General features: G+C 42.5%; 1 protein-coding gene across 6 annotated transcripts in view, besides 3 other annotated features; it reads left to right on the forward strand.

The window, feature by feature from the left end:
• NPR3 (natriuretic peptide receptor 3) overlaps positions 1–25,527 on the forward strand; it is a 100,849-nt gene that overhangs the window by 18,849 nt on the left and 56,473 nt on the right. For 2 of the 6 annotated variants that reach the window (NM_001363652.2, NM_001204376.2), the window contains exons 1-2: positions 929–1,063; positions 14,978–15,100. In NM_001363652.2, coding sequence (NP_001350581.1) covers positions 943–1,063; positions 14,978–15,100 — 244 coding nt within the window. In that variant the 5' untranslated portion in view covers positions 929–942. Of the gene's footprint in view, positions 1–928; positions 1,064–1,600; positions 2,826–14,977; positions 15,101–25,527 lie in introns of those variants that run through there. The other 4 variants (NM_001204375.2, NM_000908.4, NM_001364458.2 and 1 more) reach the window with 3 other exon arrangements.
• Positions 1,962–2,687: an enhancer, noted in NCBI's record as "H3K27ac-H3K4me1 hESC enhancer chr5:32711788-32712513 (GRCh37/hg19 assembly coordinates)". NCBI's record gives its function as "activates a minimal SCP1, AML or CMV promoter by ChIP-STARR-seq in primed H9 embryonic stem cells {active_cell/tissue: H9 hESC(primed)}" and the evidence as "EXISTENCE:reporter gene assay evidence [ECO:0000049][PMID:30033119]".
• Positions 1,962–2,857: a biological region, named in NCBI's record as "Sharpr-MPRA regulatory region 158".
• Positions 2,563–2,857: a silencer, noted in NCBI's record as "tiled region #158; HepG2 Repressive non-DNase unmatched - State 10:DNaseD, and K562 Repressive non-DNase unmatched - State 21:Repr". NCBI's record gives its function as "represses a minimal TATA promoter and a strong SV40 promoter by Sharpr-MPRA in HepG2 and K562 cells {active_cell/tissue: HepG2 | K562}" and the evidence as "EXISTENCE:reporter gene assay evidence [ECO:0000049][PMID:27701403]".

Consider the following 25,527-nt stretch of genomic DNA (forward strand, 5'->3'; position numbering starts at 1 on the left):
GCGATAAGGAGAGTGCTGTTAAGGGAGGCGAGCGCTGACGCCAGAAGTTGCCATATCCCCAGAAACCCCAGTTTGCCTTTTCACCGTCGCAAGTGAGAACCAGAGCGCGTTAAAGGCCTCGGAGTAAAAAACGCAGCGTCTGGGACTGCGGCACCCGGGTTGAGTCGGGTGCAAGTTTCTGCCGAAAGAGGGCGTCGGTCTGAGACTAAAAGAAATTTGTGGACACGGACGCCTAGTCAAATGAAAGACCATTTTAACACATTTTCAATGTATTTAAATGTGCGGGACTTAATTGTCAGAATTCTCCCGCCCAGTGTAGCCCGTTCACATTGCAAATGACTTGGCTGCAGTAGGCACAGAAGGTCCAGTTCCATTTTGACCCGCCCCGCCGCGCGGCGGACTCCCGCGATGCTCCTCTGGTCACGGACTTCTCCAGAGCCGCTTCCCTCCGGTCTCCACCGCTGCTGTGGCTATGGCCAGTGGGAGGACTGGGTCTCCGAGGCAGGACCTTTCTTGGAGTCGCGGAACCCCAGCACAGTGCCTCGAGCGCTCCAGAGAAGGAGCGGTTGGATCTTTGAGCACTCAGGTTGGAGGGGAGCGTGTGTCGTACCCGGGGGACCTACCGGGAACGTTTTGGGAAAGACAGTCCCTTTATTTAGGTACCTGGTTTAGCAAACAAAGCCCCGAGGACGCTTTGGGGATGCTTTCCAAGCTTTGTGACACCTCCAGAAGTTGAACCATTCCCTCGCCTTTGGGAGCAACAAGTTTCACTTTCCTGCTCTCAGTGCGCTGACAGAGGGTCCGTGAGCTGGGACACTGTGACCTCGGCACCGCTGCGATTCCAGCGCAAACCTGCGTGGCCCAGGGGGAGGGGGCTGGCGCGGGGCTGAGGAAGGCGGGGTGTAGGTGACGCCCGGGCCAGCCGGGCACACCAGGTCCGCGATGGAGCCATCTGCACTGGGACCTTGGTCCTTGTTCCCTGACCTTGCGCCGAGGGACCAGGAAGGTCAGGTGCTCGCCCCGCGTCGGTGCTTCAGGAGGGAATGTGGCCAGAACGAGAAAGGTGAGAGCAAGCGGCACCTAAGGATTTTTGCACCGAAACCACAATTTCTAGAACCATCCCTTTCCCCCAGTCCTGGTTTTTTTTTTTTTTTGCACGGTGTGTGTGTGTATATGTGTGTGTGTGTGTGTGTGTGTATGTGTGCGTGCGCGCGCGCATTTCTCTACTTTAAAGCACGTTTCCTTTTTTGAAGCCAGGAGCTGGAGAGCGTGGAAAGGGAGAGGCGGTGATCGCACAGGCACGCGGCGTGGTGGGGGCTCTTGCCGGTGCAGACGTGGGCGATTTCAGCTTTAAGGAAAAGGCAGAGGGCCTGCGGGGAGTGGTGGTTAGGGACAGGGGCGCGATGGGTAGTGAAGGGGTGCAGGGAGGAGCCCTGATGTAAGAATGTTAATGAGAGACTCCCCCAGCCCAGCCCCCACATCTCCCCACCCCCACCCACCCCACCCGCTGGAAACACAAGCCCGGCCTCGGCGCGCCATGTGTGGTAACACGCTCAGCCGCTGCCACGCTATTTAAACGCGGGCTATGGATCCAGGAACCGGCGCGAATCAATGAGATCAAATGCGAGGGAGATGCACCGTCAATTACAAACACTTGGACAAGTCTAACTTTTTTTTTCTTCTACAAAAACGCTTTCAAAAGCAACCTTAGCAACGCCCAAATAAGAAGCCACCTCTAAGCAAAATAGTATATGTATAAACGGAGGGCGAATATATACAAGTATATATATATGTATATTACAGACGCACAGGTTTACACCCGGTGAACTTTTTCTTTTTCTTTTTCTTTTTTTTTTAAGAAAAACTAGTGACATTGCAGAGAAGGACGCTTCCTCTCTATCTTTTGGCGCATTAGTGAAGGGGGTATTCTATTTTGTTAAAGCGCCCAAGGGGGCGCAGGGACCTTGGAGAGAAGAGTGGGGAGGAAAGAGGAAGGGTGGGTGGGGGGCAGAGGGCGAGTCGGCGGCGGCGAGGGCAAGCTCTTTCTTGCGGCACGATGCCGTCTCTGCTGGTGCTCACTTTCTCCCCGTGCGTACTACTCGGCTGGGCGTTGCTGGCCGGCGGCACCGGTGGCGGTGGCGTTGGCGGCGGCGGCGGTGGCGCGGGCATAGGCGGCGGACGCCAGGAGAGAGAGGCGCTGCCGCCACAGAAGATCGAGGTGCTGGTGTTACTGCCCCAGGATGACTCGTACTTGTTTTCACTCACCCGGGTGCGGCCGGCCATCGAGTATGCTCTGCGCAGCGTGGAGGGCAACGGGACTGGGAGGCGGCTTCTGCCGCCGGGCACTCGCTTCCAGGTGGCTTACGAGGATTCAGACTGTGGGAACCGTGCGCTCTTCAGCTTGGTGGACCGCGTGGCGGCGGCGCGGGGCGCCAAGCCAGACCTTATCCTGGGGCCAGTGTGCGAGTATGCAGCAGCGCCAGTGGCCCGGCTTGCATCGCACTGGGACCTGCCCATGCTGTCGGCTGGGGCGCTGGCCGCTGGCTTCCAGCACAAGGACTCTGAGTACTCGCACCTCACGCGCGTGGCGCCCGCCTACGCCAAGATGGGCGAGATGATGCTCGCCCTGTTCCGCCACCACCACTGGAGCCGCGCTGCACTGGTCTACAGCGACGACAAGCTGGAGCGGAACTGCTACTTCACCCTCGAGGGGGTCCACGAGGTCTTCCAGGAGGAGGGTTTGCACACGTCCATCTACAGTTTCGACGAGACCAAAGACTTGGATCTGGAAGACATCGTGCGCAATATCCAGGCCAGTGAGAGAGGTGAGCAGGGGCGCGTCCCGGGCCCCGGGCCCTAACCCAACCGCTCTCCGCGGCTCTCCCTGCACACTCGTCCACTCTGCAGACCCCACTCCCCACTGCGGCGCTGAGGTCGGGTGCGCGCGGGCACTCGTTCAGGTATGCGCCGTGTGGCTGCGACAACCTTTGACGACCGCCCATCGCGGTGTACGTAGAGGGTCCCAGGGAGGTGAAGGGGTTGGAGGAGAGGGCGTCTGTAGCTCCTGCGTGCCCAGGTCCAACAGGTGCTGTCAAACACTTCGATGTTTTTTCTTCCCAGTTTCCACTTTGCCAGCGCCGGGCTGGTGATTAGGGGGCGCACTCCCAGTGCCTGGCTCCATCCAGGGTCTGAAGCATCCGAGGCGGAAAGAACTTGTTCCCCAGTCCTTTGCCAGCGTGCGCCCCCACTTAGTGCGGAAGCGTCCGCGGACGCCTCGCAGCGAGGCGTCGCCACTTAGCTCGCCCGCTCTTGGGGTTTCTCTGACTGTTGTTTCCACAGACCCCAGGTTTCTTTTAAAGGCTTGTTGACTCACTCTTCTCATTCCTTTCATTTCCCTTCCAGCCCCTTATAAACGAGCTTCTGTGGTTTCCACCAAAAATGCCCCTGTGTGTCTGAATTCTGGCGACACTCACTTCTCCCAGAGTGTTCTGCAACGCAGTTTCTAATGCGCCCAGAGCTAAGCTTTGCGGGAGTGCCTTTTGAAGAAACGAGCGCTGAACCTTCTTTCCACCTGTCCCCCAAGTTTTCTCCATGGGTCTTTGGGTGTTGGAATAAAACCCAAACTGGACAAAGAGCTCGAGGCTGAGGATGGTGGCTATGGCTTCGGGGAGCGGGGGGACGCGGACGTGTAATCGCCAGTGTGGCCCATTTTACGGTAGGGTAGAATCTGAGGGAAGGCGGACTGAGATGCCGGTATAGCGCCGATCCCTCCTCCCTCTAGTCAGGGATTAGGAGCACTGCGATGAGGGAATCCCGTCTCTGCTCCCCCTTGGCGCTCACGCGCCTGGAATGTGAGTGGTGCAATCCCGGCAAAGCTCCCCGAGACCCCAGTGCCACGCGGATGAGACCGAAGGGGAGCGGAGTTGAGCCAGGCGCCGGGCTAGTCCACAACTTGGCATGGCCGAGCACCTGGGCGCTGGTCGTAGGGGACAGCGCAACCTGAGGCCGAAGGCCCCAGGAACAGGTGAGAGTGGACAGAGAAGCCATCGATAATGGCGCTGCTGTCACCGCCTTGCCATCTTGGCCACCTCGGACTCACCCTTTAGAGCAAAGAGGCGAGAGGTGTTTGACAGTGGGAATGCATGGCCAAATTTTGAGCTCTGGAACTCCAGGCTGTCTGTGCCGAATTCCTACCAGCCAAGCAGGCGGGGCGCAGGCTTTGCCGATTATGAAAAAGGGCACGTGTGTCCAACGGCTGCGGACTTGCCACGCCTGCCACGCCTCGGCAAGGAACCCACATCTACACTCCCAAGTCCCAGTCGCCAGGTTACTGCAGCCTCCACGGGGGTGTCTGCGCCCCGGGCTGCTAAGGCTCCCGGAACCTGCTTCTCCAGTTCTCGGCTTTCGAGGGCTAGGCGCTAGAAGTCAGAGACTTCCCAAGGCCGGCTGGGACTGGGGGTGTGTCCCCCTATGGGCGAGATCCGCGGTTTGCTGACTCGTCCGTAATGTCACTACCCTGTAGATCCCAATGTCAGCGGCTGCCCCGGCGCACGTGGCCTGGGATACAAAACCAAGGGCATGTGTGAGACCAGAGGAGGGCAGATCGCGGCCCCGGGGCCCCTCGCCCTCACAGTGGTGGCTGAGGCCTGGGGCTGGGCGGACAGCAGTGCCCTGGTGGGCCTGGGGACTGGTGCGCCCCGGGCTTCTGAGGACTAGGGCTGCAGTCGGCTGTAAGAATTATTTTTTAATTCCAAAAGCCTCATAGACGTTCCGAAGTCTCTTTGCTTTTTTTTTTTTTTTCCAAGTTTGCATTGAGGGGTGAAAGTTTGCTTAACTGACCTGTATATTTTACAAGTGATAAGGTTAGGATTTTACAATTCTTACTCTAAAAAGTATTTCCAACAGTGACCTGGCAGATATTTAGAAATAGGAAACAAAACAGTTTCTCCTCTAATCGTCCTCCAATCGCCTCTAATCATCCTTCCACCCCGAAATTCCTTACACTCGAGAGAAAAAGTTACTTGATAACAAAGCTCTCTTAGGGGACCTTTTAAAAATACATTGAAGTAACACAGTTACTTTACCGTAAGCACTTAATGTATTAAATAGGGCTTCGGTACATGATTGCAGTGAAGTTTCTGGCTCAGTCACCGGCTGGGGGATCTTGGACTGCTATGAAACCTCTGTACCTCGAGCTCCTTAGGTAAAGTGGGGGTAGTCAGAGCACCCACGTCTTTGGGAAACTGTGAGGGTTACAGAAGCTAACCCAGGAATGCCTGGGAGCACTGCCAGAAGAATATGAAGTGCTCAATAAATGTGCGGTTTCATTGTAGTTATTATTTTATATATGATGATAATCACCTTTACCCCAAGGGTGAGGCCATGCCATGGGAAAGAACCCTGGGCTGAGATGCAGATGCCTCTGGATTTGGCTGGCCTCCTTATGTGAGTTTTCTTCTCTGTGAAACAATGTGTGGGGTGAGAATCAGGCCTCTTCAAACTGATATTCTCACCCAAGTGTGAAAATGCAACTGACAGTATTTTTGCTTTTGAAAATTCCCTATTAAGTATTATGAATTAAAGTAGAGAGAGTTCCTCCCTCTTTTGGTGAGAACATTGGTATTACTTTTTTTTTGGACTTAAGTTTCTCTTTAAAACCAAATCACAAATGTTTGAACAAGTAAAAAACTGACCGTGCCAGCATCTCAAATAATAATGCGACTAAAATTTCACATGGCATACTGTAGAAAGAAAAACAGGGGCATCAATTATTCCTTCATTTTAAGGATTTACCATCTAAGTCAATAATTTAAAATCTTTTTTTTTCCTGTCATGTCTTTCGCTAATGCCACTAAAATAAACAGACCTGAGCCTATATTATTTTTAAAAACAATTATCTTTATTTAAAATAGATTCACTTACACAGCCAGCTACTGCCCTCAATATTCCACACACTTAACAATAAATTTAGTTTTAAAAAGACAGGCTTAGAAATAATTTTTTCAAGCAATACAAGCCAGTAGTTGTTTTGTCGATGCACTTTATATGATGCAGAACTAGAAGTATCCTAACGCAAATGTTTTTATGTGAAGAACTGTAGTTTTATCCTTTTAGTTATTAGTATGTCATTAATCTGGGCCTGCATAATGACTGTACAACATTATACAGTCTGTAGAGATAGAGATAACAGTATTTAATCAATACAAGAAACATTTATTTTTAGAATTAGTCTGGGGTAAATGACCGAGTGGTCAATCAGCAGCATTTTTAAGGAAAGAACCCATGATAAGTGTAAAATAACTAACACAGCAGGGGAAAAAAGGAGCTTTGTAGGCTGCACTGTGGAAATTCTAAAGGCCTTTGGAGTAGATGGAGCTTTATGAACAACAGAAATAAAGATGCAATCTCCATTTTGCAAACAATATCCATTGCTATGGAGTGTAGAAACAGCCAGAGAGAAATCTTTTTTGAAAAAAGTTAGATTTACATTTTACCAAAATTTAGTTCTACAGCTATAGAAAGTGAGAAAACTACACAAGGTTTATGAGGAGAAAAAGGTTCCTGTCTCCTACTCTCCATTTTTCACTCTCAATTCTTGTTAGCTCTTCCTGTAGGTATTGACCTTCATATCTCTTAATAACATGCTACTTTTTTTTTTTTCAGTTTTAGGTCTTATCTGTTGGAATCCCAGTGGAAGAAAATTCTCTTCTTGATCATTCTACTGCCTGTTAACCACACATGCAAGCTTTCTTTCCAGTCATCTTTCCAATATGGTTGTGCCAAAATTTTTCTCAGTAGGCTGAGGCAGGAGGATTGCTTGAGTCCAAGAGTTTGAGGCTATGGATTGCCCTATTTGAATAGCCACTGCATTCCAGCCTGGGCAACATAGCTAGACCCCATCTCTTACACAATATTTTTTAGTTAGTTCAGTATTCAGTATAAATATTATCATTACTTTCTAAATGATATTTAAGGTTAAGTCACATAGGCTTCTATGTTGACATTTCCTTTTTTCCCCCTACCTATTTTCCTTGGAGTTAAAACAGTCTGTTTTTGTTTATTTGCTTAATTTCCTATGGATTTATAATTAAATAATCTTCTAATTCTTTATTTTAAATCTCCTGAGTGTTTTTTTATTATTATACTTTAAGTTCTAGGGTACATGTGCACAACGTGCAGGTTTGATACATAGGTATACATGTGCCATGTTGGTTTGCTGTACCCATCAAGTCATCATTTACATTGGGTATTTCTCCTAATGCTATCCATCCCCCAACCCCCCCACCCCCCACCCCCTGACAGGCCCCGGTGTGTGATGTTTCCCGCCCTGTGTCCAAGTGATCTCATTGTTCAGTTCCCACCTATGAGTGAGAACATGTGGTTTTTGGTTTTCTGTCCTTGCGATAGTTTGCTGAGAATGATGGTTTCCAGCTTCATCCATTTCCCTGCAAAGGACATGAACTCAGCCTTTTTGTGGCTGCATAGTATTCCATGATGTATATGTGCCACATTTTCTTAATCCAGTCTGTCACTGATGGACATTTGAGTTGGTTCCAAGTCTTTCCTATTGTGAATAGTGCCGCAATAAATATACGTGTGCATGTGTCTTTATAGTAGCATGATTTATAATCCTTTGGGTATATACCCAGTAATGGGATTGCTGGGTCAAATGAGAATTCTAGTTCTAGATCCTTGAGGAATTGCCACACTGTCTTCCACAATGGTTGAACTATAATTTACACTCCCACCAACAGTGTAAAAGTGTTCCTATTTCTCCACATCCTCTCCAGCATCTGTTGTTTCCTGACTTTTTAATGATTGCCATTCTAACTGGCATGAGATGGTATCTCATTGTGTTTTTGATTTGTATTTCTCTGATGACCAGTGATGATGAGCATTTTTTCATGTGTCTGTTGGCTGCATAAATGTCTTCCTTTGAGAAGTGTCTGTTCATATCCTTTGCCTACTTTCTGATGGGATTGTTTGTTTTTTTCTTGCAAATTTGTTTGAGTTCTTTGTAGATTCTGGATATTAACTCTTTGTCAGATGGGTAGATTGCAAAAATTTTCTCCCATTCTCTAGGTTGCCTGTTCACTCTGATGGTAGTTTCTTTTGCTGTGCAGAAGCTCTTTAGTTTAATTAGGTCCCATTTATCTATTTTGGCTTTTGTTGCCATTGCCTTTGGTGTTTCAGTCATGAAGTCCTTGCCCATGCCTACGTCCTGAAAGGTATTGCCTAAGTCTTCTTCTAGGGTTTTTTATGGTTTTAGGTTTAACATTTAAGTCTTTAATCCATCTTGAATTAATTTTTGTATAAGGTGTAAGAAAGGGATCTAGTTTCAGCTTTCTACTTATGGCTAGTCAATTTTCCCAGCACCATTTATTAAATAGGGAATTCTTTCCCCATTTCTCATTTCATCAGATGGTTGTAGATGTGTGGCATTGTTTCTGAGGCCTCTGTTCTGTTCCATTGGTCTATATATTTGTTTTGGTACTGGTGCCATGCTGTTTTGGTTACTGTAGCCTTGTAGTATAGTTTGAAGTCAGGTAGCATGATGCCTATAACTTTGTTCTTTATGCTTAGGATTGTCTTGGCAATGCCAGCTCTTTTTTGGTTCCATATGAACTTTAAAGTAGTTTTTTCCAATTCTGTGAAGAAAGTCATTTGTAGCTTGATGGGGATGGCATTGAATCTATAAATTACTTTGGGCAATATGGCCATTTTCATGATATTGATTCTTCCTATCCATGAGCATGGAATATTCTTTCATTTGTTTGTGTCCTATTTTATTTTATTTTATTTTCATTGAGCAGTGGTTTGTAGTTGCTGAAGAGGTCCTTCACATCCCTTGTAAGTTGGATTCCTAGGTATTTTATTCTCTTTGTAGAAATTGTGAATGGGAGTTCACTTATGATTTGGCTCTCTGTTTGTCTGTTAATGTTGTATAGGAATGCTTGTGATTTTTGCACATTGATTTTGTATCCTGAGACTTTGCTGAAGTTGCTTATCAGCTTAAGGAGATTTTGGGCTGAGACAATGGGGTTTTCTAAATATACAGTCATGTCATCTGCAAACAGGGACAATTTGATTTCCTCATTTCCTAATTGAATACCCTTTATTTCTTTCTCCTGCCTGATTGCCCTGGCCAGAACTTCCAACACTATGTTGAATAGGAGTGGTGAGAGAGGGCATCCTTGTCTTGTGCCAGTTTTCAAAGGGAAAAACTGCTTCCAGTTTTTGCCCATTCAGTATGCTATTGGCTATGGGTTTGTCATAAATAGCTCTTAGTATTTTGAGATACATTCCATCAATACCTAGTTTATTGAGAGTTTTTAGCATGAAAGGCTGTTGAATTTTATCGAAGGCCTTTTCTGCATCTATTGAGATAATCATGCAGTTTTTGTTGTTGGTTCTGTTTTTGTGATCAATTACATTTATTGATTTGCGTATGTTGAACCTGCCTTGCATCCCAGTTATTTTCTAGGTATTTTGCACAATTGCCACTCTGGGTTCTTCAACATCTTCCTGGGACTTCCATCACCTCTCTGTTGAGCTAGATCCCTGTGTGTTTCTCTTTTTTCATTATGTTTTTGTTTTGTTGGACCACATCCTCCAAGAGCTTTCTGAGAAAGGATGAATAAGGCCTAAATTTTGAGAGGTTTTGTGATTGAAAAATTTTCATCATACCTTTACACATAGTTATAGTATTCTAGGTTGGAAATAATTTTCCCTCGAATTGTGACAGTATTGCTTTACTGTCTTCTAAATTCTAACATTGCTATTAGAAAGCTGGAATCAGTTTGGATTCTGAACTTATAGTTCATTGCTTTGCTTTCCTGGAAATTTTTAGAATGTTCTCCTCTTCCCTGTGTACTCAATAGGCCTCTTTTATCCAGAAACTCACATCTTTTAATTCTGGGAATACTTCTTAAGTTATTTCTGTGATAATTGTATCCTTTTCATTTTCTCTATTTCCTATTTCTAGGTTTCTTTCTTATTTGGATGCTAGACCTCTTGGATTGATCTTCTACTTTTCTTACCTTCTATTTACCACCTATGTTGTTGTTGTTTTTTTTTTTTTGTAATTCATCTTGTTTGGATATTTCCTTGGCCACTTTTAAAGTTACTGTTGAGTTTTTCATTTTTGGTATCACATTTTCAGTGTGCAGGACATGGCATACTCTGCTTTGCTTCCATGCAGTGATATCCCTCTTTTCCTTCTAAATTTGTAATTAACTGGAAGATGGGTACAGTAACCAGATGGAGAATATGAATATATCCTTATTATTGATAAAAGCAGTTGAACATGGATTTAGATCTATTTCCAAAAGGGCCTGCTTGCTATTACTTCCTCCCAGAATTAGGCAGGAATATCTATTAAATCACATATAGTGCCATTTAGCTGCAAATCTCCCCTGCTAACTCTTGACCATGTGACAAAAGAAGCCCATGATGTGTGCTTTCTGCAAACAGCCACAACCCAAAGAAGAGGGAAGAAAAGACTGAGCCAGCATACTCAGTTTTAGGCTCAACAATCAGACATTTCACTTCTTTTCCTCTTGTTGCGGGTGAGGGGAGTGTAAATGAAAGCACATTGAGAGATGAGAAATGTTAGCACATTAGAGGTTTCTCCCAATGAAAACTTGAGATTTTGGAAATAAGTATCCCCCCAATTCAGGGATACTACCTGGAATGTTTTTGATTCTCTGAATTGACTTCTATAGCTACCTCTTCGCATTTCTCTCTGCTGTTCTTAGAGTGATTGCAAGAACATGATGCAATAGTGAGAAGCCATTTACAGAAGTCACTGTGGGAACCAGATGATGGAGGGTGGCATGGAACATTGAAAGTTCTTTGGCAAGGAGGAGGAAATAGAGTAGAATGAAGAAAAGTCTATACATAAAGTTACAGTTACACCATCATTCCCTCTTTTAGAATTTTAACAATGCGACCCAAAATTAATATTTATATATTAACTATACTGAGATACAACAAAAACTGCCTTAATTAACCTCCACTTATGCAGGTCGCAGGATTAGCTGATGTCCTCTGTTCTCTATAAATCTTATCACCTGTTGGTAGGTGCTGGCAGCTAGTATAGTTCTCCTGAATATGCTGCACACTTCTCATACTTCTTCATATACTTTCTAAGAGTTGTCCACAAATTTGTTGATGCTGGTTGTGCTTATTATGATAAATATGTAATTTAATTAGTTATTATATAAATTGATGAAACATAAGCAGGAAAAGAAAGTTATTTTAATTAAAACTGTTCTAAACCTTTTGATTGTATAAAGGCAAGTTACTAAAAATACTTGCTGTTCAATTAGGCATGAGTGAGACAACCCTAAGAGATTGGGGAGCATCATAAAAATCTAGGATCATGCACTCTGACTACTTTGCAAGTGTCATTAGGTGCTTGCTCCAGTTTGAACTGGAACTGGATGATAATGTGCATTATGTGTTTGGTTCATTCAAGAAAGACAGTGCTCTGCTCATGAACTTGGAAATTAGGGCTTCCTTTTGAATCTTAAATCACATGGCCAACACAAAATGGATAAGATCTAAAATAATCAAAATCTGCTTAGATAGACACAGTGCCACTCTATGTCTCTTTTGCTCAGTCTAAGTGGCTACTAACATTTACAGAAAGAAGGTAGGCTGGGCGTGGTGGCTCATGCCTGTAATCTCAGCACTTTGGGAGGCCCACGGTGGGCCGATCACTTAGCCTGGCCAACATGACAAAACTCTATCTATACAAAAAGAACGAAAATTAGCCGGGTGTGGTAACATGCACCTGTAGTCTCAGTTACTTGGGAGGTGCTGAGGTGGGAGGATCGCTTGAGCCCAGGAGATGGAGGTTGCAGTGAGCTAAGACTGAGCCACTGCACTCTTGTCCGGGTGACAGAGTGAGAGTCTGTCTCCAAACAAATGAACCAGCAAACAAAATAACAACAGAAAAGAAAACAAAGAATGTGTCCATCAGAAGGACTTGGTGGTGGTGGGGTATGTCTTAGTTTGTTTTCTGTTGCTATGACAAAATGCCACAGACTGCATAATTTGTAAAGAAAAGAAGTTTATTTAGCTTATGGTTCTAGAGGCTAGGAAGTCCAAGAGCATGGTGCTGGCATCTTGTGAGGACCTTCTTGCTGTGTCATAACACTATGAAAGGCATCACATGGTGAGAGAGCAAATGTGTGCCAGCTCAGGTCTCTCTTCCTCTTCTTCTAAACTGCCAGTCCCATCTTAGGGGACCCAACCTGGTGACCTTATCTAATCATAAGTATCTACCAAAGGCCCCATCTCCAAATACCACCAACAAATGATTTTGAGCATTAAGTTTTCAACACATGAAATCTGGGGGACACAACCAAACCATAGCAGGAAGAGAGAGAAGGAGATGGGCCGGGAATGTAAAAATAGAAAAAAAAAGTACCACAGAAGCCAATGTTTAGGGAAACTTCAGGCAAAGTTTAGGAAAGCTTGTCCTCTGGTCCTTGGACCCTGGCTGTTTGGTCCTGGACCAGATATATCTCTTAGATGGATGCCTAGGGTCATCAAGTTCTGGTGCCTTTGACATCTGAATCCTCTACTGGCCTCCCTGATTCTGATTTCATCCTTACTTGCATCCTACTGCTTATAATTTGTCTCTCCAGTTAGCATGCTCAGGTATAGGGCATGTTGACACAAATATATTCATAACCATCCTGGACCTCATTGAATTTAAACAGTATGCATTTCAGATTACCTATACATATCTGAGTTAGGTTATTGGAAACTTGCCCCTAAGCAATGACTCTACTCTCTATATGTTGACAGAATCAGGTTCTGCATCTTGGGACTGAGAGCCAGACCCTGGACTATGATCACTTGATCGAAAAATGATGAGGGCTGCTTGGTGGCCAGTCAGCCAGAACTTCCCGGAACCTCCTGGAGACATCCACTCTTGGAATCCACATTCTTCAAACTTGTCCAGCCTCAGTCCCTTGTTGAATGTTTTATGGGACACCCTGGCTCTTTGTTCATTTAAGAGGCTAGAATCAAATCAGAGGTGAAACAAGGGTCTAAATCATAACAAATAATTAGGAGTTTCTTTGAAAACTTTCTTACTGAGGCATCTTGGAATTGATTATTTATTCCAAATGTATACCTATACTTTCAGGCAGAAGCAACACCTACTCCCATACTTGTAGATCTTTAATATTTGTACTGTTTTAAAAACTTTTTCTCTAGAGCTTTTATGCTGTACACCGAGCCCTTTTGGGGTATGAAATGTCAGAGTCATGATCTAACACTGAATTAACGTGCGCAGTAAACTAAATATCAACAAGAACCCAACCTCCATGCAGGTTGCCAAGGCCGCTTTGGCATAGCCTGAAGTTTGTTTTATGTCTTTCAGCACCCATGCTTTTACAAAGAACATACACATCTTGGAGGGCTGGCATGCATCGTGATAATGCGGTTTATAGCACCCAGGTCTCTCCAGGTCTCTCTGCACAGTATGTGTGCAGCAAAACACAGTGGTACCGGTCATGGAGACCTGGGTCTATCAACAGGGATCAAATAGACTGGGTAATGGTCAAGCCCTACTTCATTCTAGGCTGTGTAGCCCTTATGTGGTAGGCAACAATATCCAATTCGAGAGGCTCTCGAGTTGTGTGAAGCCTCTTGAATCCAACAGTGTGGATATAAACTGAGAGAACATGAGAGAGATACCTGGAATCTTACAAACGATTTCTTATGTATGTTGAGACAACCTGAAAATAATGTTTTAAAATTCAAACAGCAGAAAGCTTGTAGCACCCTCTGAATCCTCTGATTTGCTAAGTGAATGTTCTCTCTAAAATCATTAAGTTTGCTTTTTCAGGACAATGCATTTACCATGCTATTAAGTATAAAAAGCAGTTGACAATTTTCACTATCTTATATCCGGCAAATCTGGTGATTTATTTGATGCAGTTTTTTTTAAAAGAACTTTATTTTGAAATAATCTTGCACTTTTGGAAAAGACGTAAGAAAGTATAAAGAACTGGTCTGTAAAAGCTTCATTTAGAGTTTCATCAATTGTTAATATTTTGCCACATTTGATTTATGATTTCAAGTATCTCCCTGTCCCTCTCTCCTCTTCTCCCCTCTTCTCCCCTCCTCTCACCTCCTCTCCTCTCCCCTCCTCTCCCTTCCTTTCTTCTCCTCTTTTCTACCCATCTACCTATCATCTATCAATCAATCAATATATGTGTACATATACATACACACACAGATAATACTTGTTATGAACCATTTGAAAGTACAGAATCATGCTTATTTACCCCTAAACATTCAACTGTGTACTTCCTAAGAACAAGAATGTTTACTTACATAACCACAGCATAATTATGAAAAGTAAGAACTTTAACACAAACAGAATTCTATTATCTAGTGTATGGAACTTGTTCAAATTTTCCACCAGTCATCTTCATAATGCCCTTTATAGCAAAACATTTATGTATATATGTATGTATTTATTTTAAGGTCCAGAATCCAATCCAGCATCACACGTTGCAGTCAGTTGCCTATTCCTTTAAGCCTTGTTCAGTCTAGAATGTCTCTTCAGCCTGTCTTTGTTGTTCATAAAATTGACCATTTTAAAGAGCGTAGGCCGATTTTCTACAGACCATCCCCCAAGTTGGGTTTGTGGCTGCCACCTTCTGATTAGATGTAGGCTGCCTATCTGGACATTTTTGGTCCTCAAAGTGTTATTCCAGGTGTCTCATGAGTCTGTGTTCCCATGGTTGGTGATGTTGGCTTCCATCTCTTGGTTATGGAGGCGTCTGCTAGGTTCCTCCATGGTCCATTTGTAGTTAACAAGTGATTGTGAGGAGATACTTCAGGACCATATAAGTATCCCGTTCCTTGTCAGATGTCCCTTACTGGTGTCAGCATGCTCGAAGTGCTCTGCAAAGGGGTGCCTCATGTGTGTTGTTTGTTCCTCCCCTAGTGGTGATCATGTGTGCGAGCAGTGACACCATCCGGAGCATCATGCTGGTGGCGCACAGGCATGGCATGACCAGTGGAGACTACGCCTTCTTCAACATTGAGCTCTTCAACAGCTCTTCCTATGGTAACTCTGCTTCCACTTTCCCCTCCTCTGCTAGGGTTCCAAGAGAGGTTGTCAGATGCCCATGAATGGTGGGTTGGATAAATAATATGTGGTACATAAACACCATGGAATACTATGCAGCTTTATAAAACAATGGAATCATGTCTTTTGCAGCAACATTAATGGAGCTGGAGGCCATGATCCAAACAAATTAATGCAGGAACAGAAAATCAAACACTGCATGCTCTCACTTACAAGTGGGAGCTAAACATTGAGCAAATACGGACATAAACATGGGAACAATAGACACTGGGGACTTCTAGGGGTGGTGGGGGTGGGTTAAAAAACCCTGTTGGGTACTACGTTCACCACCTGGGTGATGGGATCCATACTCCAAACCCCAGCATCACGCAATATTCCCATGTAACAAATCTGCACATGTACCCGTTGTATCTAGAGTAAAAGTTAAAATAAAAAACAAGAGGGTTGTGAGAAAGATTCAGAAATTTGAGTTATGTCCATAAATGTGATTTCCATAAATGCAATTTTGGAAATTTGTGACTCTGAACACTCCTACAGCTTCTCAAAAATTTCTTGAATTTGCTTCATCTCCAACAATTCAATTGGAGCAAAAAGATATCATGTACCTATGATGTCAAGACACCTGTCTGGGTATGAGCGTAGCCCACTCCTGCACTCCAAATGGTCATAAATCCAGGCCCCAAAGACCTCTTGTCCAGTGCTTTTCCAACTGCACATTGCAATCATCATGATACCATCATGATCAGAATAATTTCAGTGAGATTTGGGCAGAATTTTTAATAGAATGGAATAGACTAGAACATAACACTACTGAATAGGTGAAGTGTGTCACACTTAGCATGTGTATTGTTTTAGAAAGCTTTTACTTTAGTAATATTATTGCACATTTGTGTGTATATGTGCATGTTACACCTATGTTTACAGTGGGTCACAGTGTGAAATAAAATAACTGTTACTGCAAATTGAGGTACAAATCATTTGAAAGCCACTGCTCCCAGTCCCCTCTTTCTTCCAGATTACTGCACCTTAAACCTCTCCTATACAGAAGTTGTGAACCACCAATGTATAGAGTTGAAAGCATTTAATTCCCTATAATGAATCTGGGGAACTTTGCAGGGTTCCTGTCATGGAGGGTGTTTAAGGAGATCATAAAGATAACAGGTACAAGACATTTCTCCCCCAAATGTGGTTAGGGCTCTCTCTGAAGCAGACAGCATCGGGCTACAGAACATTTTCTCAAACGCTGCATGCTGGCTGCTCAGAGCGGAGCAGTTGTAGGGGAAGTGTAAGTGTGTATATCACAAATGGCATGTTTATACTGAGCTTCACTTCCCAGTTCTTGCTGATGAGATATAGTTGGACAGGATCTAAACCTTAAAACATACTCCCCGGTTTCCTGCCCTGATATCCTGGCTTACTGGAGCAGTACATCATTGTGCATATACAGATAATAAAACACGCTTATCATGGAGATAAAGAAAAGTTGATGAAACAAAAGTAGCCACTGCTTCCTGTAGTGGATAAAATTAGAGATTTGAGGCTTGCAAGATAAACACCCTAGTTTGCCCTCCTTCCTGCCATGATGGTCTTTTCCCCTCTGTTTTACACAAGCAGAGTGGTGCTTTCACTTCTTCACTCAAGATCAGAATGTAGTTTTACTATGGGCTGCAGGGTTGAGTTCATTGAAATGGTGGTAGAAACTGGTGAAAATGAAAAACATGTATGCTGAGTTTTGCAAGTTGGCAACTACAAATACAGAGTTTAGAGGCAGTGCATGTGAATTTAGAGGCATGAGGTCTGGCAAGTACCTGATATAAATGTTAGGTACTAGAATTCCTCTTATCCACAGATAAAGCTTTTATTACTTTTCCCTGTTAATTACAATACATGAGTATTGTAGACAATTTAGAAAACATAGAAAAGCACAGGAAAGAAAACAAGTTACCATAATTCTGCCACACAGACAAAAGTACACTGATAATTTTTGGAAGTATGTACATCCTGCCTATTTTATAAATACATGTTTTACAAAAATATTCTTCAATATATTGATCATACTATTTATGGTATGGCTACATGTTCTTTTATAATGTTGATAGTCATCTTTTATAAGTCTTATTTCTCAATATTGATGTTGTTCCCAGCTTTTTGCTATTAAGAACAATGCTGTGTTGAGTGTACATACGCACATACACTTTCTCTCTCACATATTTATACATATATATTATCTGTAAAATAAATTTCTAGAAGTGGAATTGTTGGCTCAAAGGTTATGTGCATTTAATGTTTTGTTTTCTTTTTTTGAGACAGGATCTCACCCTGTTGCCCAGGCTGGAGTACAGAGGCGTGATCTTGGCTCACTGTAGCCTCAACACCATGGGCTCAAGTGATCCTTCTACCTCAGCCTCCTGAGTAGCTGGGACTACAGGCATGTGCCACCATGCCTGGTTACTTTCTCTTATTTTCTTTAGAGACAGGGTTTCATCTTGTTGCCCAGGCTGGGCTCGAACTCCTGGGCTCAAGTGATCTGCCTGCCTCAGCCTCCCAAAATCCAAAGGGACTACAAGCATGAGCTACCATGCTGCCTGCCATTTAGGTTTTGATAGATATTGTCCATTTTTACTTTTGCAGCAAAGTATGTGATTATCTGTTTTCCTGTAGCCTTGTCAAGCCTGTATAATCTTTTACCTTATTTTATTTAATTGAATTTCTTTTTATGTTTATAAGCAAAGTTTTGCAGTTTTCTCATTTATATTGTGCATTATTCTTGCTGAGTTTGTTCTTAGTATTTTATGTTTTTTGGTTGTTATTATGATCATGATCTTTTCCTGTTGTATTTTGGAATGGTATTTATGTAGAGAAGCAATGAGTTCTTGTTTATTTATTTTGCAAGAATTCTACTTATTAAATCCTCTGCTCTAATAGTTTTTATATCATTTCAAATAACAATGACAGTTTTTTTCTCTGTTTTGATAGTTGAACATCCTATTTCTTATTCTTTTCTTATTGCATTGGCAAGAACTTCCAGAATAATATCATATAACAGGGGTGATACTTTAAATTTTGACTTCTGTCATGAAGTAGATGGTAAAGTATCCTTTTATTCCTAGTTTATCAAGTCTGATTTTTAAAATCAGAAATGAATATTGAATAATATCAAATGCATTTGACCTGTTCTCTTAATACATTTTAAAATATTGGGCCACCATGGCATTCTTGGAATCAAGTGTACTTTGTCATGATGATTTTTCAAAAGATATATTGTTGAGTTTAAGTTTTTAGTGTTTTATTTAGGGTTTTGGGTCTATATTCATGAGTGAGATTCAAGAGCAGTTTTTAGCTGGACTGCGGTGGCTCATGCCTTTAATGCTAGCACTTTGGGAGGCTGAGGCAGATGGATTACCTGAGGTCAGGAGTTCAAGACCAGCCTGGCCAACATGGTGAAACCCCGTCTCTACTAAAAATACAAAAATTAGCTGGGCATGGTGGTGTGTGCCTATAATCCCAGCTACTTGGGAGGCTGAGGCACGAGAATTGCTTGAACCTGGGAGGTGGAGGTTGCAGTGAGCTGAGATCTTGCCACTGCACTCCAGCCTGGGCAACAAGAGTGAAACTCTATCTCAGAAAAAAAAAAAAAAAGAGTCTTTTTCTTGGGATAGTATTGCCAGATTTTAATATCAGGTTCTTATTAGCTTTATAGAATTAATTGAGATACTTTCCATTGTTTTCCATGCTCTATAACAATTTTGATACCATAGGAATATTCCTTGAAATAAGAAAACAGCTCAACTCTGTATTTGCACCTAACTTCTTTCTGGAGGTAATTTTTGGACAACTTTAAAAGACCCTTCTATAATGAAATAATTTCAGATATAAAAAACTTGCAAAAAATATAAGTTGAAAATCAATTATTTGAAATTTCTTGGTATTAACGTGCTTCAGATTCCAAGCTTTTATTTGGATTTTGGAATATTTGTGTGTGTGTGTGTGTGTGTGTATATATATATATATATATATATATATATATATATATATGTAAAATGAGACATCTTGGAGATGGGACCCAAGTCTAAACATGAAATCCATTTATGTTCCATATACCTTATAAACATAGCCTAAAGATAATTTTATTTTATTCCCTGAGGATGCTGAATAATATTGTGTGCCTGTGTGTTTTTTTTTTTTTTTGTTTTGTTTTTTTTTTTTGAGACGGAGTCTCGCTCTGTCGCCCAGGCTGGAGTGCAGTGGCGGGATCTCGGCTCACTGCAAGCTCCGCCTCCCGGGTTCACGCCATTCTCCTGCCTCAGCCTCCCAAGTAGCTGGGACTACAGGCGCCCGCCACTACGCCCGGCTAATTTTTTGTATTTTTAGTAGAGTCGGGGTTTCACCGTTTTAGCCCGGATGGTCTCGATCTCCTGACCTCGTGATCCGCCCACCTCGGCCTCCCAAAGTGCTGGGATTACAGGCGTGAGCCACCGAGCCCGGCCTGCCTGTGTTTTGACCTATCACATGAAGTCAGGTGTGGAATTTTTCCACTTGTGGTGTTATGTTGTTATGTTGATGCTCAAAAAGTTTTGGATTTTGGAACATTTTGGATTTCCCACTTTTGGATTAGGAAGCTTAATCTGTATAGAGACTTCGTGTACAGTTATGTGTTGCTTAATGATGAAGATACATTCTGAGAAATGAGTGGTTAGGCAGTTTCATCATTGTATGAACACCATAGGTTTTCATACAAACCTAAATGGCAGATAGCTTACTACACACCTATGCTACATGGTATAGCTTATTGCTCCTAGGCTATAAACCTATACAGCAAGTTACTGTACTGAGTACTGTAGGCAATTATAGCATGATGGTATTTGGGTATCTAAACATAGATTCTATCTAAGTATAGAAAAGGTATAGTAAAAATACAGTTTTATAATATTCTGAGACTGCTGTCATATATGTTGTTTGTCATTGACTGAAATGTTATATGGGGCATGACTGTACATATTTTACCAAGCTTCCTCTAATGTTACCAAATAACCATAGTACAATTATCAAAACAGGGAAATTAACATTGGCACAATATTACTAACTAAACTACAGGCCTATTTGAAATTTACCACTTCTCCTCCTAATGTTCTTTTTCTGTTCCAGGATCCAATCCAGGATCTCACACTGCCATTTAGTTGTTGTGTCTCCTTTATCTCCTCCACTATGTGATAGTTCCTCAGTCTTTCCTTGTCTTTCATGACTTTGACACTTAAAAAAAAAGTTTTCACTATGACCAAGCGGGGTTTATCCCAGGGATGCAAAGTTGGTTGTATATTTGAAAAGCAATCAACTTAATCCATCAAATTAAGGAAGTTAAAAAAAAAAGGTCACATGATCATATCAATAGATACAGAACAAGCTTTTAACAAAATTCAACACTCATTCATGATTTTAAAAATAAAAAATAAAAAATTATAAAACCAGGAACATAGGGGAACCTGCTTAGGTTGACAAAGAACACCTACAAAAACCTCGCAGCTGATATCACAATTAATGGTGAAAGACTGAATGCTTTTCCCATAATACAGGAAACTAAGCAAGGATGTTCACTTTCATTACTCATTCAATTTGCCACTGGGGGTTCTAGCCAGATAAACAGGGCAAGAAATGAAAATAAAAAGCATACAGTTTGGAAAAGAAGAAAAAATCTGCTGTTTTGTGCAGATGTCATGGCTGTCTATGTAGAGAATCCCAAATAATCTAGAAAAATTCCTTAAAGCTAATTAATGAGTTTAGCAAGGTCCCACCATACAGGTTCAACATACAAAAATCACTTGTGTTTCTATATTCTAGCAATGAACATGTAGATGCCAAAATCAACAATATAATATCATTTAGTCAAAAAAGAAATACTTAAAAAATGTAAATTAAAAAATGTCTAAGTTTTTTTGCTGAAAACTACAAAACACTGATGAAACCACTAATGAAAGAAATAAAAAAATCTGTATTAATGAGAGACATACCTTGTTCATGAATTGGAAGACTCAACATGGTAAAGAAGACAATTTTTTCTTACATTGAGGTTAAATAAATATCTTACAAAAATTTCAACAAGATTTTTTTTAGATGTAAGGAAGATTATTCTAACTTTGACACTTTTCATGAGCCCATTATTTTGCAGAATGTCTTTCAATTTGGATTTATCTGGTATTTTTCCACAATGAGATTGAGTTTATGTATTTTGGTGAGAATACTGCAGGCGTGATGTTGTGTCCCTCTCATTGCATAATACCAGTGCGTAAGAAGCCATACTATATGACTTATTGCTGGTGATGTTTGGACAACTTTTTAACACTTCCTTTCCTATGAGTTTAATTTTTCTGCTTCTTGAAAATTCTACTACACAGAGTTATACAGAATGCTCTTATACAACTTACAAAGTATACTTGGGGTTTCTGATTAGATCCTTTATATTTTACCTTTTACGCCATATTTGCTCAGACTTTGTGCTTTGGTGTTTTTCTGCCTGAGAGGCTCTGCCATGAACTAGCTGTTAACTCTAAGAGGTAAGGGTTAAGAGATGGTTAAGAGCTTAATCCTTAACCCTGGCAAAGTAACATAACTCTGCCCTCCCCTGCAAGCCTTAGTTTCTTCAATGAGAATAATAATACTTATCTTATGGCATCAGACTCAGTAATAAATGAGGTGACGTATATAAAATACCTTGCAAACTTCTTGGAATAACTATTTAATAAATGTTAGCTATATTTTATTAGTCCTAGTTTACTTTTACCATTATACCTAATACTTAAAAAATTATGTTAAGTTTATACATTTTTTCTGTGGTGTTAGGTTTATAGATAGATTTAAGGTCACACATTCTGTTATCAGGTTAGCCAATGTTAATATAATATATCCCAAGGACCTCGGTGCATTAGGAATTGCATCTTCATGCACCTAACCAAGACGTCCAGTTGTAGTGATTTTAAACAAATGTAGAGATTTATTCTCTTACCTGAAGCACATCCAGGGGTGGGAAGTTGAGGGCAGGGATGATGACTTCCTAATGTCATCAGGAGTCCAAGCTGGTTCTGTTTTCCTGCTACTCTCAATCTTAGTGCATAAAATCCATTCTCGGCCGGGCGCGGTGGCTCACGCCTGTAATCCCAGCACTTTGGGAGGCCAAGGCGGGTGGATCATGAGGTCAGGAGATCGAGACCATCCTGGCTAACAAGGTGAAACCCCGTCTCTACTAAAAATACAGAAAATTAGCCGGGCACGGTGGCGGGCGCCTGTAGTCCCAGCTACTCGGGAGGCTGAGGCAGGAGAATGGCGTGAACCCGGGAAGCGGAGCTTGCAGTGAGCCGAGATTGCGCCACTGCAGTCCGCAGTCCGGCCTGGGCGACAGAGCGAGACTCCGTCTCAAAAAAAAAAAAAAAAAAAAAAAAAAAAAAATCCATTCTCAAGATCAAAGATGGTGGCTAGAGCTCCAGGGATCGTGTGTTAATTCTAGGCAAGACAAAGAGACAACACAACAGGTAAAAAGAGACCCTCCTGGTTGACATGGTTCTCTGTGAAAGGCTTTCCTGGAAGCCCCACTCATTAACTTCTGCTTACATTTCACTGACTAGCTCTAGTGACAGGGGATATCAGGGAATGTGTGCTTTTAATTGGACTCACTGCTATCCTACATCAATTTAGGAATCTGTTACTGAGGAAGAAGAGAGCATGGATGTAGGAAGGCAACTGTCCATCTTCCACAGACTCTGAAGCACCCTTTTCCTTGGGGTAGAAGCAGTCAACAGAATCACATGGTGGGCAGAGTGACCTAGACCAAGGTTCTGCTATACATCAGTAGTAAAGGGCCTTGTTTGAAACTTTGTGCCCTAATAATCAGATATATATGTTCATGAAAAGTTGTTCAACATCTACCTCTCCCTGGGCCTCTTCACACCAAACCCTATGCTTGTTCTAGGAAAAGACCTCTATTTTATTTTATTATTTATTACTATTTTATTTTATTTTATTTCATTTTTTTGAGACAGAGTTTTGCTCTTGTCACCCAGGCTGAATTGCAGTGGCATGATCTCAGCTCACTGCAACCTCTGCCTCCTATGTTCAAGCAATTCTTCTGCCTCAGCCTCCCGACTAGCTGGGATTACAGGCATGTGCCACCACGCCGGCTTAATTTTTGTATTTTTAGTAGAGATGGGGTTTCACCATATTGGCTAGGCTGGTCTCGAACTCCTGACCTCAGATGATCCGCCTGCCTCGGCCTCCCAAAGTGCTGGGATTACAGACGTGAGCCACCGTGCCCGGCCAAGGCATCTAATTTTAGTCACTACTTACTTGATGTTGGATTGAAAAAAAAACATATTGATAGTGCGTCCATTATTACTAATTACTAGATTGTTTGGTCTTGGTGAGCACTCAAAAAAAGATTCTCAGATTTGCCCAAATTATGTGATTACAGGAGTTCAATGGGTAACATATTATGGGATAATTCAAGTGATTGAAAATAAGACTTAAAACATAGGTTTAAAAAAGTCTAGAAAGAAGATAATATATATTGCCCCATAGAGTTTTTAAAGGCACCGATTGACATTTTTGTCCATTGGCATTACCTACTTAGAAGGTGAGTTAGGTGGTAACTTATCTGGGCGATCCTGTCTAGAACTGCTATTATTGTAGAGCTTCCCTATCTTCCTGAGAACTCAGAGAGCACTAATTAAGATGAGAACAGAAGTATAGTAGAGATTGGTGATGGGCAAAAATTAAATTATTTGACTGGCTAAAAATGGAAAAATAACAGAAAAACCAGGGAGAGATTAGAATTATGTTTTGCCATAAAAGTGATACATGTACATTAAAGTCAATTTGGAACATAGAAAAAAGAAAAAGAATTCTCACATAATTCATCAATCATAACAGCTGCTAAACAGCTTTTGGCACTTCCCCTTTTGATATTTTTTCCTCTTCTACATTTGTTTTTAACGTTTTTGTCAATCACCGCATATGCAGTTTTAAATCTTAGAACACCCAAACTCTGATGAAATGAATGTAGGTTAGGTGGGGTGTTGGTATCTGGAGTCTGGCTTGCATTTGGATATTGTTCCTATCATTTATTAGCTAAACGACTTGGGGCATGTTAATCTCCTTGAGCCTCAATTTCCTCATCTGTAAAATAGGGATTATACTTAAATCTTTTTCAAAGAGTTGTTAGGAGAATTAAAGAAAGAAATACTGCAGGTCGAACAGCCATATGGAGCTGTGCACAGTGGTATCCCCCATTAAGGGGTGCTGTTATTAACAATGGGTGTAATTGGACCAGCCTAGCCATGGCAAGCATGTGACAGTGGGTCGTTTGGAGAGGGTGGGGGTAAGCCAAGGAAGGCAGATATTTTCTCTCCTTAAATGACCACCAGAGCTGAAGAGCCACAGTACTGTGGGGCCAGGCCAGGTGAATGCTTAGCATTCATTTTTTGGACACATTCTGTGATGTCTCAGCCACTCATTCAGGTGATATATATTGAAAATTTACTATGTGCTAGGTCCTTGGTAAGTACTGGGAACTACAGGATGGCACAGTTACCCCAACATGGGTACCCCTTATTGGCTGCAGCTCTTCACCACAGGATCGCTGGGCACAGGGCTTGGTGCTGAGCAGACTACCTTCCTCTTTCATAAATATTCTGTACCCAGTGCAAGCTTGGGTGTTCAATACAGCATTAGAATCCACCACTCCCCTGCAAGTGCTTTCCTCAAGGTCACCAGTGAGCTTCTCATTACCAAATCCATTAGCCTTACCTAAGACCATGCTTCATGCCTCCAAAGCTGTGCCACCCAATGGAACTTTCTGCAATGATGGCTATGTTCTAGTCTGTGCAGCCCAATGTGGTAGCCACTAGCCACATGTGGCATTGAGCACTTTAAATATGACAAGTGTGACTGAAGAGCTGAATTTTTAATTTTAATTACATTTAAATAGTCACACATGTGGCTAGTGGCTCCTCTGTGAGACAGCACCGCTCTAGAGCATTCGATCTTGTTGCCATCCATCCCTTTCTGGTAACCCTGTGCTCTTAGCTTTGGTGACACAGCATTCTTCTGGTTCTCTGTTAGCTCCTCTCTGTTTCCTCTTACTCCTCTTGCCCACTAAAAATAGCATCCCCCCAAAGTGTCTGTGCTCTGCCCTTCTCCCTCTGCTTTCTGCACTGTATTTCATGTCTGGCGAGGCAGCCCCTGGTTTCTAATTTGGAGCCGTGTGGAAATGACACCCAGCACGGTCTCTAGTCCTCACTCCTCTTTTTGGCTTCGGAGTAGCATTTCCACCTCTAGCCTGGTGGTCACTTGGGCATTCTGCAGTCGCCTTGGATTTACCATACCCCTAACTGAAATAATCATTTCCATGTCCTTCTAACCCC

Source organism: Homo sapiens, chromosome 5, assembly GCF_000001405.40.
Source record: "Homo sapiens chromosome 5, GRCh38.p14 Primary Assembly".
NCBI classification, from domain to species: Eukaryota; Metazoa; Chordata; class Mammalia; order Primates; family Hominidae; genus Homo; species Homo sapiens.